The sequence below is a fragment of the Homo sapiens genome, chromosome 13 (genome assembly GCF_000001405.40).
Source record: "Homo sapiens chromosome 13, GRCh38.p14 Primary Assembly".
Lineage (NCBI taxonomy): Eukaryota > Metazoa > Chordata > Mammalia > Primates > Hominidae > Homo > Homo sapiens.
Genome location: NC_000013.11, coordinates 36895558 through 36908944, shown reverse-complemented (window position 1 = coordinate 36908944; position 13387 = coordinate 36895558). Strand labels below are relative to the sequence as shown.

The following is a 13387-nucleotide window of genomic DNA, read 5'->3' as shown; positions in this document are numbered from 1 at the left end:
CCATGAGCACAAGGCTGCCTGGTAAACCAAGAGTCTTCATTTGGGCCACATATATCCCTTGTAGTCATGGCCTTCAGTTTCATGTGAAATTCAGTGTGAATATAAAAAATCCAGCCGTTATTGGAGAGTCTCTGATTTTACAGTGAGATTGTGTGTGTTCTTTCTCCTCCCACCATAATTAGTTGTTTAGTTGCTAATTTGTTTTTATTTTCACTTCTTTTTTTTCCTTTTGACTATTTTATCAGATGCGATTATTATGTCACTTCCTCTGGGCCACAGTATACCCAAATTCAGGAGTGATGATGATGTATTTTTAAAATGAACTTCAAATATTCTCATATTTAGTTGTGTATTGTAAGGTAAATTCACTTAACCCAATAATATTTTTATGTAGTAGATTCTATTCTGTTATATTCCTATTCCAGGAGGGATCCTAAAGTCAGTTTTATGAAAGAATGAATTTTGAATTTTGTGAACTTTTCAATTGATTTGAAGTCATGGAGACTCTGGGGTATTAGTAAAATTTAGCATAACAGAAATTTGTATTTCTGTCTTCTTTCAGAATGCTCACAGTTGTTGAATCTAGGAATGTTTGTTGTATTTAATTATTTGTTTTGACTGAAGAAATTTTATAGTTTGCATTACAAGAATAACTTGTTCTGAGAAAATCAAGCTGAATAATACTGATTCATGGCATGTAACATTGCTGTTGGATGGTTGTGAAACAGAAAACAGATCTCATTAAAAAAGGTTTCTCTAGAGATTGTTCCATATTTTCTCCCCTTTTTAGTATAGAAGCAACTGTTATTTTAAAAACAGTACTTTCTTCTCCCCCTCAAAACCACCACCATCAGAGAAAATGGATATGTTTACATTAATTGGCACTAAGTAGAAGAAAGGATCTGAAAGGCAGGCAGCCTGCTGGGGATCTCATGGGACTGGCTGTCCTTCAGAGAGGGTGGGCTGCTGAAAGGAGATTAACCTATGTAACTGGGCCTGGGCGAGTGTGAAGATTTCCCAGCATTTTACCTTATCAGGGATTCTGTTTTCTTCCAAGGCTTCCAGGTACCGATGGCACATTATTTTCTACCTGAAAATTAGAGTTTATTAAAATACCTCTAATTTGGCAGAGGGAGAAACTCCATTTGTAAAATCCCTTGAAGGTAGTGATGAAGCAAATTACTATAACATTTGGATAGGATTTTCCTTTATTGTGATAAAATATAAATAGTAATGCAATTTACCGTTTTAACATTTATTTATTTATTTTTAGAGTCAGGGTCTTGCTGTCACCCAGGCTGGAGTGCAGTGGTGCAATCATAGCTCATTGCATCCTCAGACTCCTGTGCTCAAGCCATCCTCTTGCCTCAGCCTCCTGAGTAGCTGGGATTACAGGTGGGTGCCACCACGCCTGGCTAATCAAAAACAACAACCACTTTTGTAGAGATGGGGTCTCGCTCTGTTGCCCAAGCTAGTCTTGTACTTCTGGCCTCAAGCAATCTTTCCACCTGGCCTCCCAAAGCCCTGGGATCACAGTCATGAACCACCGCACATGGCCTCATTTTCAGCATTTTTAGTCATATAGTTCAGTGGCATTAAGCACATTCCGGTTTTATGTACAACTACCACCCTATCCATTGCCAGAACTTTTTCATCTTCCCAAACTGAAACTCTGTACCATTTAAACAATAGTCCCCATTTTCCCCTTCTCTTAGCACCTGGTAACCTTCATTCTACTTTCTTCTCTATGAATTTCCCTATTCTAGATATTTCATATAAGTAAGTGGAATCATGCATCATTTGTCCTTCTGTGTCTGGCTTATTGCACTCAGCATAATCTTTTGAAGGTTCATCCACATTGTAGCAAGTGTCAAAATTTCATTCCTTTTTAATGGTTGTGTAGTATTTTATTGTATATATATAACAATTTGTTCATTCATTCATTTGTTGATGGATGTTTAGGTTGTTTTCACTTTTTGGCTATTGTAAATAATGCTATGAACATTGAGTACCTATTTTCTTGTTTTTGGTGTATAATTAGGAGTGCAGTTACTGGCTCACATGGTAATTCTACGTTTACTTTTTTGAGGCTCTCCCAGACTCTCTCCCACACCTGCTAAGCCATTTTACATTCTCATCAACAATGTGCAAATTTTTGCACATCCTTGATTTTTACACATTGTTGCTGACACTTGTTATTTTCTGTTTTGTTAACAAGAGCCATCCTAGTGGGTATGAAGTGGTACCTTGTGATTTTGGTTTGCACTCATTCCCCTAGTAACTAATGATGTTGAACCTCCTTTTATGTGCTTATTTGCCATTTGTATATCTTCTTTGGAGAAGTGTCTATTCTAGTGCTTTGCCTCTTTTGAATTGGGTGGTTTGTTTTTTGTTGTTGTTGAGTTTTAAGAATTTTTAAATATATTCTGTTAACTTTTTTCTTTTTTGTCTCAATTTCCTGGTGATGAGATATATTCTGGATGTGTATCCCTTATCAGAAGTATGATTTGCATAGAATATGGTTTTTAGTGAGGTATTTCTCGAGAAACTGCATTTTTTTCCATTTATTTATGTAAGTGTCTTTTCACATCTAAGATACTTACGTGGAATTCCATAACATACGGTCATATAAATAAAAGGAATAAAACATTTTTTAAAATTTCCTGTTTTTAAAAACCCACCAATTTTTGTTCACATTAATTTTAAATAAATCATGGTTAGAATAAAAGATACCTAGCCAGCATAAGAGATAACAGTCCAGTGTGTGATATAACATTCAATGACACAGCATTTATTCTTCAAATGAAATTTGAAGGGCCATTTGGCCTTTGTGGCTGTAGAAATTTGATCAGTGAAGAAAAATTAGCTGCCATTCCTTAGAGTCTTTGTTATTTTTCCCTTGGTGTTCTCCTTATTTAAAACTTTCGTTTGATTTAAGAGTTGTAAAGCATGTAGATTAGAAATAAGAATTTTCGTCCAGGCGCAGTGGCTCATACTTGTAATACTAGCACTTTGGGAGGCTGAAGCGGGAGGATTGCTTGAGACATAGCAAGAAAATATAGCGAGACCCTATCTTTATTTTCAAAACAATAAACAAAACTTTTAAAAAAATATAACAAAGGATATAAGTTTTTTTTTTTTTTTTTTTTTTTTTTTTTTTTTTTTTTTTTGAGACAGGGTCTTGCCCTTTTATCTAGGCTGGAGTGCAGTTGTACAATCTCGGCTCACAGGAGTCTCGAACTCCCCAGCCTCAAGTGATCCTCCCACCTCAGCCTTCCTAGTAGCTGAGACTATAGGCCTGCAGAGCCACACCTGGCTAATTTTTGTTTTTTTGTTTTTCGTTTTTGTTTTTGTAGAGATGGGGTTTGGCTATGTTGCCCAGGCTGGTCTCTTACTCCTGGGCTCAAGCCATCTGCCCGCCTTGGCATCCCAAAGTGCTGGGATTACAGGTGTGAGCCACCGTGTCTGGCCGGAAGTAATAATTTTTAAAACGGCTCCAGTTCTGCCTTTTCATATTGATATATTGATTAGTATTACTGAAAATCTGGCAGTAACTGTAACTAACAAAAGAAGATACTCAAAAGAAGTGTAAGACCTTTTGAACAGGATAAGAATGATTAAGATTTTCAGGAAGAGTGAATTACAACAGAGAAAGAATGGGAGTGGGGTAAAACAACCAAGTCGATTTCAAGTAATTAAAGTCTAGATGAGGGTTTCTCAACCTCCACTCTGTTGGTATTGGGAGCCCGATCATTCTCAGGACTGTCCTCCAACTTGTAGGATGTTTAACAGTATCCCTGACCTCTGCCCACTAGAGGCCAGTGGCACCTCCCTCCCCCAGTTACAACAACCAAAAATTTCTGTAGGCATTGCCAGATGTCCCGTGGGGGGCAAAATCATCTCCGTCTTCCCTCAGTGCTCAGTGTGATAATAGCCTGAGCTGAGTTCTGATGGCAGAATGGTGATAAAAGGATGAAAACAAGTGAAATCTCAAGTAAAGGAAAAGAAGAAAACTATCAATAATTAATATGTATTAAGCATCTACTATATCCTAGGCACCACTGGGTGCTATGCTATGGTCATTTAACATAAATAACAATAAGAATTTATTGAACACCTCTTTTATGGGAGAGATTGGAGCTACAGAAATGAGTAAAATACTTGCTGCCTTTAAAGGCTTTGTTGTTCAATAAAGAGACAAATGGACAATAAATTGTAGTTCCAAGTGAAAATAGAAATATGTACAAGGTACTGACTGAGAAGATAATTTTATTTGGGGGAGTCACAGAGTCCTGGGATGTCTGAGCTGTGGTTGAAGGATGAGTAGCAGTGTTGCCCCTTGGAGTGGGTTTTGCAGATGAGGTAATAAATTGCCTGAGGCAATGTATTTGCCCATGGCCTTTTAGTGGCTGAATTGAAGACCAAGCAGGTGGCAAAGCTCTCTCCAGACTGTCACTGCCGTCCAGGGAATAAAAGGCCCAGACCATAATTAAAGCTGGGATGATTGCATAGGGCAATTATACATTTTCCCTGAGGCTTGGATAGAGCGATTCGCACCTGGCAAATCCCAGCGCCGTGCAATTTTAGTGACAGTTTATACACTTCACATATTGTTGTAAATCATTATCCAGGCAAGGAAGATCAAGAGTCGCATATCTAACTCCCACCAGGTATCAGACTGCCTGCCAAGTTACATTGACGACACATTGTTGATTTTGAAAAAATCAAATAAGAGGTACACTTGCATCCTCTGCTTAACAATTTCTTTATTAACCAGCAGTAGGTGTGGTGTAATGGAACCTAGAAACAGATGGGACCATATGGCTTGATTTGTGGAGCGGCAATATATTGCTTAATCTCTTACATAGCAGTATTTGCTATGTAAGACAAATAGTTATTCAGTGGCAGTTTACATAATATATATTAACAGTAGGGTGCTCTTTGGATTTCCATAATTATTTATATTTTAAATATTTTACATTGGAAAAGTAAATAGTATGCATCAAAGAAAATTACTAATGAGTTTCTTAAGCTTTATCACGTGTGCCCTGTAATTCTGCTTTTTCTTCACTGCCTTCTGTTCCATTAGCAACAGTAATGTTCAGACTTGCTGATGTGGCTGCCAGGTTATTTAATTTGACTAAAAGTGATGTGTGATAATTGTGTTTATTTAAGATTTTGTTCAGAATGTTTTTAAAAAGGTCACTATGTTACTTTTGCATTATATATAGTATGACTGTAAAATTAACTTATCTAGAAGAATTACTTGTATACACTAAAAGTTTTGGAGACTTTTGAGATTAGATGCAAAAGCTATTTTCTCTCTCAGTTCAAAGAAAACAATTCATTGTTATTCATTCCATTTCATCTTACCTGATGTTTTATTTTTGAAAAAAATGTTTAATGTGATAGTTACTGATTTTTAGTTTTGGTACATTTGAAATACTAAAGACTGACTTGCACACAATAGCTGCTGCTGTTTGCTCACTCTGCCATTGAAGCCTGGAAATGGCCCCTCCAGGCCGGGTGTGGTGGCTGACGACTGTAATCCCAGCACTTTGGGAGGCCGAGGCAGGTGGTTCACGAGGTCAGGAGTTCAAGACCAGCCTGACCAACGTGGTGAAACCCTGTCTCTACAAAAAATACAAAAATTTGCCTGGTGTGGTGGCGCGTGCCCGTAATCCCAGCTATGCAGGAGCCTGAGGCAGGAGAATGTCTTGAATCCGGGAGGAGGAGGTTGCAGTGAGCTAAGATGGCGTCACTGCTCTCCAGCCTGGGTGATAGAGCAAGACTCTGTCTCAAAAAAAAAAAAAAAAAACCAAAAGAAAAAAAAAGAAAGAGCCCCTCGGCACTAGAGCCCAAGGTCTAGGCCTCCCCTCCTCCCTGCCATGTAAACTCCTCTTTGACAGAAATTACTTAGCCATGGTATTTTCTTCCACGCTTCTTATACTCCCATCCTCACGCTTATTTCAGCTGTGGATGACTTTATCTTTTCAGGAGCCCACTCATTCATTTAGCAAACATCAAACACATAATATGTGTCAGGCTCTATTCTAGGTGCTAGGGTACAGTGGTGAACAAAATGGACAAACGTCCATATCCTAATTGAGGCCGTATTGTGCTAGGGAAAGAAACAATAAATAATTTTTAAAAAGTAAAATACAACACAACATTGAAAAAGAAGAGCAAGGCTGGGTGCGGTGGCTCACGCCTGTAATCCCAACACTTTGGGAGGCCGAGATGAGCGGATCACGAGGTCAGGAGTTTGAGACCAGCCTGGCCAACATGGTGAAACCCAGTCTCTACTAAAAATACAAAAAAAAATTAGATGGGCGTGGTGGCGGGCACCTATAGTCTCAGCTACTTGGGAGGCTGAGGCAGGAGAATCGCTTGAACCCGGGAGGCAGAGGTTGCTGTGAGCTGAGATTGTGCCACTGCACTCCAGCCTGGGTGACACAGTAAGACTCCATCTCAAAAAAAAAAAAGAAGAACAAAGTTGAAGGACTCGCATTTCCTAATTTTAAAACTTAACTACAAATATACAGTAATCAAAATAGTGTGGTATTGATGTAAGAATAGACATAGAGATCAATGGAATAGAATTGAAAGTCCAGAAATAAACCCGAACATCTGTGGCCAATTGATTTTTGACAAGGATTTCAAGACCATTCAATGGAAAACAGTCCAGTTCTTTATTCAGTGGAGAACAATGTCTTCAACAAATGGTGCTGGGGCAACTACACAGCCAAATGCAAAATAATAAAGTTAGATCCCTACCTCACACTAGATATAAAAGTTGACTGAAAATGATCAATAACCTAAACATAAGAGCTAAAACCATAAACTTTTAGAAGAAAACATTGGTAAATATTTATAACCTTGAATTTGGCAATAGATTCTTAGGATACCAGAAACATGAATAACAAAAGAAAAAGATTTCATCAAAATTAAAAACTTGCATGCATCAAATGACATAATGAAAATAAAAAGACAACATACAGAAAAGGAAAGAATATTTGCAAATCATGTATCTCAGGGTCTATATATCCACAATATGTAAGGAACTTTTAACAATGCAACAACAAAAATACACACAACCCAATTTTAAAGTGGGCAAGGGACTTGAATAGATATTTTTCCAAAGAAGACATACAAATGGACAGCAAATTTGCTCAGTATCATGAGGCATTAGAGAAATGCAAATCAAAACCACAGTGGACCGGGCACAGTGGCTCATGCCTGTAATCCCAGCACTTTGGGAGGCCGAGGCAGGGAGATCATTTGAGGCTAGGAGTTCAAGACCAGCCTGGCCAACATGGCAAAACCTCGTCTGTACTAAAAATACAAAAATTAGCGGAGCATGGTGGCACGTGCCTGTAGTCTCAGCTACTTGGGAGGCTGAGGCAGGAGAATCACTTGAACCTGGGAGGCGGAGGTTGCAGTGAGCTGAGATCGCACCATTGCACTCCAGCCTGGGTGACAGAGCAAGACTCTGTCTCAAAAAAAAAAAAAAGGCCCAAAAAACAAAAAAGAAGCCAAACCCACAGTGATATATCACTACATATCTACTAAGATGCTATAATAAAAACAGAAACAGTGAAAAATAACAAGTGTCAGTGAGGATGTAGAGAAATTGGAATTTTCATACGTTTCTGATGGGAATGTGAAGTGGTTCAGATGATGTGGAAAATAGTGTGGCAGTCTCTCAAAAAGTTAAAAGTAAAATTACTGTATGACCCAGCAATTCCACTCCTAGGTATATGCTCGAAAGAACTGAAAACAGCTACTCAAACAGATACTTTTGCACAAATGTTTATAGCAGCACTATTCACAATAACCTAAAGGTGGAATATGGACTATATCTATCAATTGTTTATACACACACAAACACACACATATATGATTCATCACACATAGTTTATGGTTTCATTTATGTGAACAATTCAGAATAGGTAAATCTATAAAGACAGAATGCAGATTGGTGGTTGCCAGGGTCGATGGGGAGGGAAGAATAGGAAAAAACTGCTGAATGTGTATAGGGTTCTATTTTGGAGTGATCAAAATGTTTTGGAACTAGGTAAAGGTGATGGTTACATAACACTGTGATTGTGAACATATTAAATGCCACTGAATTGTTCATTTTAAAATGGGTGATTTTATGTTACGTGCATTTCACTTTAATAATTTTTTTAAAATAAGTAAAATAATTTACATTTATGTGTGTGTGTGTGTGTGTGTGTGTGTGTGTGTGTGTGTGTGTAGTCATAATGATAGTTTTAGTGGTAAGTCCTTTCGGGAAAAATAAATCAGGAAAGGTTGATAGTAAGGTAGGGGTGGTGGGGGTTTGCAGTTTAAAATAAGATAGTCGGCCAAGCGGGTGGCTCATGCCTGTAATCCCAGCGTTTTGAGAAGCTGAGGTGGGTGGATCACGAGGTCAGGAGTTCAAGACCAGCCTGACCAACATGGTGAAACCCCATCTCTACTAAAAATACAAAAATTAGCTGGGTGTGGTGGCATGCGCCTGTAATCCCAGCTACTCAGGAGGCTGAGGCAGGAGAATCACTTGAACCTGGGAGGTGGAGGTTGCAGTGAGCAGAGATCACGCCACGGCACTCCAGCCTGGATGACAGAGTAAGACTCCATCTCACAAAATAAAAATAAAAATAAAATAAGATAGGGAAGGCTTCACTAAGATATTTGAGTAAAGTCCCAAAGCAGATGAGGGCAGCAGCCATGTGTATACTAACATGAAGAACGTTGGAAAAACAGTAAGTGCTTTGAAATAGTTGCATACTTGGTATGTTTGAGGGAAAGTAAGGAGGCATTTGTGGCAGGAGTAGAGAGAGCAAGGGGGAGAGTAGAAGGAAAAGAAGGCAGGAAGGTAACGGATTCATGCTCAAGCAGGATCATTCTAATATGCCACCAGTACTGAGAAGTAGTGGTGTAGGACCTTGCAGGCCATTGTAAGGCTTCTGGCTTTTACTTAGAGTGAATCAAACCTTTGGAGAGATTGGAGCAGGGAAAGATTGTGACCTGACTTATGTTTTAATTGGGCCAACATGGCTGTGGTGTTATGAATAGAGGGACTAGTGTAAAGCAGGGAGACTATAGAAGGCTACTTTAATAATTCAATGAAATGTTCTGCTTCTGCTTTTCACATACTACACAATCTCATCCAAACTAGTTTCCTTTTCCCCTCATATGCTGATAAATTTAGGATTCCATCCTTCAGTTCAGCCTCTTCTTTGAGCTCCAGACCCTGAACCCACCTACCAACTGAATTCCATTTTGATATTGTGCTTCCCCCAACTCTCTATCCAGCTCACTACCTCAGACTCAGTAAATCCAAGATGGATGTCTTTGCATCTGTGTTACCCCCGACTTCATTTAGTTCCTCCTGAATTTGTCATTTTCATGAATGGCATGCTCAGGTGCCCAAGAAATCTGGACTCTTCCTACTTTATTGATTCCTAGTCAATAGTCAAGATTTTGCCATATTCTACATACTTTTTCATGTAAATTTTAAAATCACCCTATCAACATATACAAAAAAGTACTGCTAGGAATTTGGTCAAAATGGCATGGAATCTGTAGATTGATTTGGGGAGAACTGAAATCCTAACATTATTGATTTTGCACATCCATGAACATGGTATATTTCTTCATTTAATTTCTTTCTGCAGTGTTTTGCAGCTGTCATTTTCGAGTTCTCCCTCCACCGCCCCACCTTTTTTTGGTTAAATTTATTTCTAAGTGTTTTATGGTTTTTGAGCTATTGTAAATGTTTTCACTTTTTAATTTTCCATTTGTTTTCTGCTGGTAAATAGGAATGTAATTGTTTTTGTACATTTATCTTGTATCCTGCAATTGCTAAATTCACTAATTAGTTTCAACAGTTTTTTCAATTTTTTTTTGGTAGATTTCTTTAGGATTTCCTTACTTTGTTCTTTCTGTTGCCTGTGAATACAGAAAATTTTTCATTTCTAATCTTTATGCTTGTATTTGGTTTTGTTTGTTTGCTTTATCGCACTGGCTAGGACATCCATACAATCATGAATAGCAGTGGTGAGAGTAGATTTCTGTACTTTGTTTCTAGTCTTAGGAGAAGTATTCAGTATTTCACCACTAATTATTATGTTAGCTATAGGTTGTAGTTACCCTGTACAGATTGTGGAAGTTTCCTTCTATTTCTAGTTTGGTGAGAATTAATAATTTTTTAAAACTCATGAATGGGTATTGAATAGTGTCAAATGTTTTTTTCTGCATCTATTAACATGATAGTATGGCATTTCTCCTTTATTTTGTTAGTATGGTGAAACATGCTAATTTATTTTCAAATTTAATACCAGTTTTGCATTTCTGTGATAAACTTCATTTGGTCAAGATGTGTGTTAGTCCTTTCTATACTGCTGGGTGTGATTTGCTAATATTTTGTTAAGGATGTGTACATCTGTTTTTCTGAATACTATTTGTGTTTTCTTTTTTTTTCTAATATCTTATAAGATTTTTGCATCAGGGTCATGCTAGCTTCATAAAATTATTTGGGAACTGTTTGCTCCTTTGTATTCTTAAGAGTAGGTGTATAATTTCTTCTTTAAATGTTTGATAGAGCTCTCCAGTGAAACCATGTGGGCCTGGTGATTTTTCCTGGGAAAGTTTTAAATTGTGAATTCAATTTCTTTAATATATTTAAAGCAGTTCAAATTTTCATCTTTCTGTGTAGACCAACTATGTTACCTACCCCTAATAAGGGTAACCCACACCCTTATTAAGACATAGGACATTTCGGCCGGGTGCAGTGGCTCACTCCTGTAATCCCAGCACTTTGGGAGGCCGAGGCGGGCGGATCACGAGGTCAGGAGGTTGAGACCATCCTGGCTAACACGGTGAAACCCTGTCTCTAATAAAAATACAAAAAAAATTAGCTGGGTGTGGTGGCGGGCGCCTGTAGTCCTAGCTACTCGGGAGGCTGAGGCAGGAGAATGGCGTGAACCTGGGAGGCAGAGCTTGCAGTGAGCCAAGATCGCACCATTGCACTCCAGCCTGGGCAACAGAGCGAGACTCTGTCTCAAAAAAAAAAAAAAAAAAAAAAAAAGACACAGGACATTTCTGTTACCTTGGAATGTTTCCACTAATGAACTTTGGGTAAATAGCTCCTTGTAAGTCATGAACTGCATGAATTGAGCAATTATAACTGAAAATGCAAATGCATTATACCTTTTTTACCCAATCAAGTAAGAGTTTTCATTAGCAGTTTTCAAAAAAAATAGGAATTTTTCTACATTTTGTTTTTATGAAAAGCAGGTTATCAAATTCTGCATTATTATTTTTTATTTAGGAAGATGTTAACTTTCTAATTTCTTCTGAAGATATCCCACATTTTGTCAGTTGATGCCAGTTTTCAAATAGACAGTCATGAATATATTGTAGATTTCATGTACTGTGGGAGAGTCTCTTGTATAGCAGGTTGAGCTTAAGCAGAAAGGGCTTTGCCACAGTATGGAACACTATGAAGCAGGTACCAAGAATGAAGTAGATTTATGTCCTGGTAACAGAAAATATCCTCAAGCAAGTTGCAGAATGCTTGAATCTCTTTAAAAATTCAAACTAATGCTATATTTTTTGTAAGGACTTTAATATGTAAAGATATGCAGAGTAAAATATCTATAAATAAGTCCAAGCTAATTTGAGTAGTCACATCAAAGAGTGCATAAGGGTTTGGGAACTGTGGGTGATGGTCAGATGAGATTTAACCTGATTATAGAAGTTTGAATTTTCATAATAATAGCACATTACCATAGAACTTATGTAATTAGAACTGTGAAGGCCTGTAGCAGATTTACTGATGACTAGAGGGAAAATGCCTCCAGATTTTGTTTTTGTTTTTGTTTTAGCAGTTACTTTGAAGCTGTTGAAAACCAGCTCATAAAATCTACACATAGAGTGTTCTAAATCTGTTTTTTTTTTCAAATTATGGCATAAGAAAGTATTGCAAGTAAAGTTCAAATGCAACTTAGGATTCAAATAAAAGTTGGATATTACTCTTGCTACCTCAAAACTTTAAAAACATTAAGTACTTAATAACATGAAAATGCTTGGAGTATACCATTCATTGAAATAGGCAGAATATAAGATATATTTATAAATGAATTATTTAAAAAAGTTTATTTAGAAAAAATACACAAAAATGTTGGTAGTGATTGGTTTCTCTGGGTGGATAAACAGTGGTTATTTGAGCCGCCTTTTTTAGGAACTTTTCCATATTTTTCTATTTTTTTTGGCTTGTTTTTCATTCACACAAATTTCCGAGAAGGGAAGAGAAGAAAGAAAATTCTTAGCATTTACAAGCATGCTACAGGGAATTCTGGTGCTTTTTAACAGGAGAATGGTAGGATCAGATATGCATTGTAGAAGTCTGGCAATTTGTAGAAGAGATTTGGGAGGTCTGGAGGGAGATCAAGAAGATGGAGAGGAAGAGTTGTTTTTGAAGGATGTTTAGTAAATAAAAAATCGGCCGGGTCTGGTGTCTCGCACCTGTAAGCCCAACACTTTGGGAGGCTGAGGTGGGTGGATTGCTTGAGCCAAGGAGTTCGAAACCAGCCTAGGAAACATAAAGAGACCTTGTCTCTACAATAAATCCAAAAATTAGCTGGGCATGGTGGCATGTGCCTATAGTCCTAGCTACTCGGGAGGCTGAGGTGGGAGGACTGCTTGAGCCCGGGAGGCAGAGGTTGCAGTGAGCCGAGATCGTGCCACTGCACTTCAGCCTGGGCAAAAGAGTGAGACCCTGTCTCAAATAAATAAATAAATAAATAAATAAATAAATAAATAAATACTCAACAGGATTGGCAACAGGGTGGGTGGGAGTAGAATGAAAGAATAAGGGAGAGGTTAATTTTCCGCCTTTTACATTTGTCATTTTAAAACTAAGTCTTTTCAAATCTATTTTGTAACTGCACATTACTTCTGATTTAGGTAACATAAATAGGAAACTGCAGTTCTTCTCTTTCTGTGACAATAACTTAAGTCTCTGCTTAGGTGGAAATCCCAATTTCAGGCTGACTTGGAAAATACTATTTATTTCAAGTAGATTAATATCTGAATATAAAAACTATGATGCAAATCCTTCTAATGTCTTCAACCTGAGTAACTTCACTGGGTAACAGTCCCTAGGCCAACTTAAAAAAAAAGCACTGAATTTCCTATGCCTAGGATTCAAAACTTAATCTGTGTGCAGCCATTAGCAAAGCAATTTCTCTCCAAATATTGAAATTCACATTGAACACATCTTTCTCTGAAATTCTGCTTAATTTCTATTTAACAATTACCCAAATCTAAAAGATCTTGTGATTATTGAGCAGAATCAGGATTTATGCTATATCAGTGG

The 13387-nt window shown here is 37.6% G+C and overlaps 1 protein-coding gene across 16 annotated transcripts in view; it reads left to right on the top strand.

Moving 5' to 3' along the window:
- The window catches only part of SMAD9 (SMAD family member 9), a 76024-nt gene that overhangs the window by 11910 nt on the left and 50727 nt on the right, over nucleotides 1-13387 (top strand). For 2 of the 16 annotated variants that reach the window (XM_047430358.1, XM_047430363.1), the window contains exon 2: nucleotides 1274-1395. The exons of the other annotated variants lie outside the window; for them this stretch is intronic. The gene's annotated coding sequence lies outside the window, so the exon portion shown is untranslated. The remainder of the gene's footprint in view (nucleotides 1-1273; nucleotides 1396-13387) is intronic. 16 annotated transcript variants of the gene reach the window in all.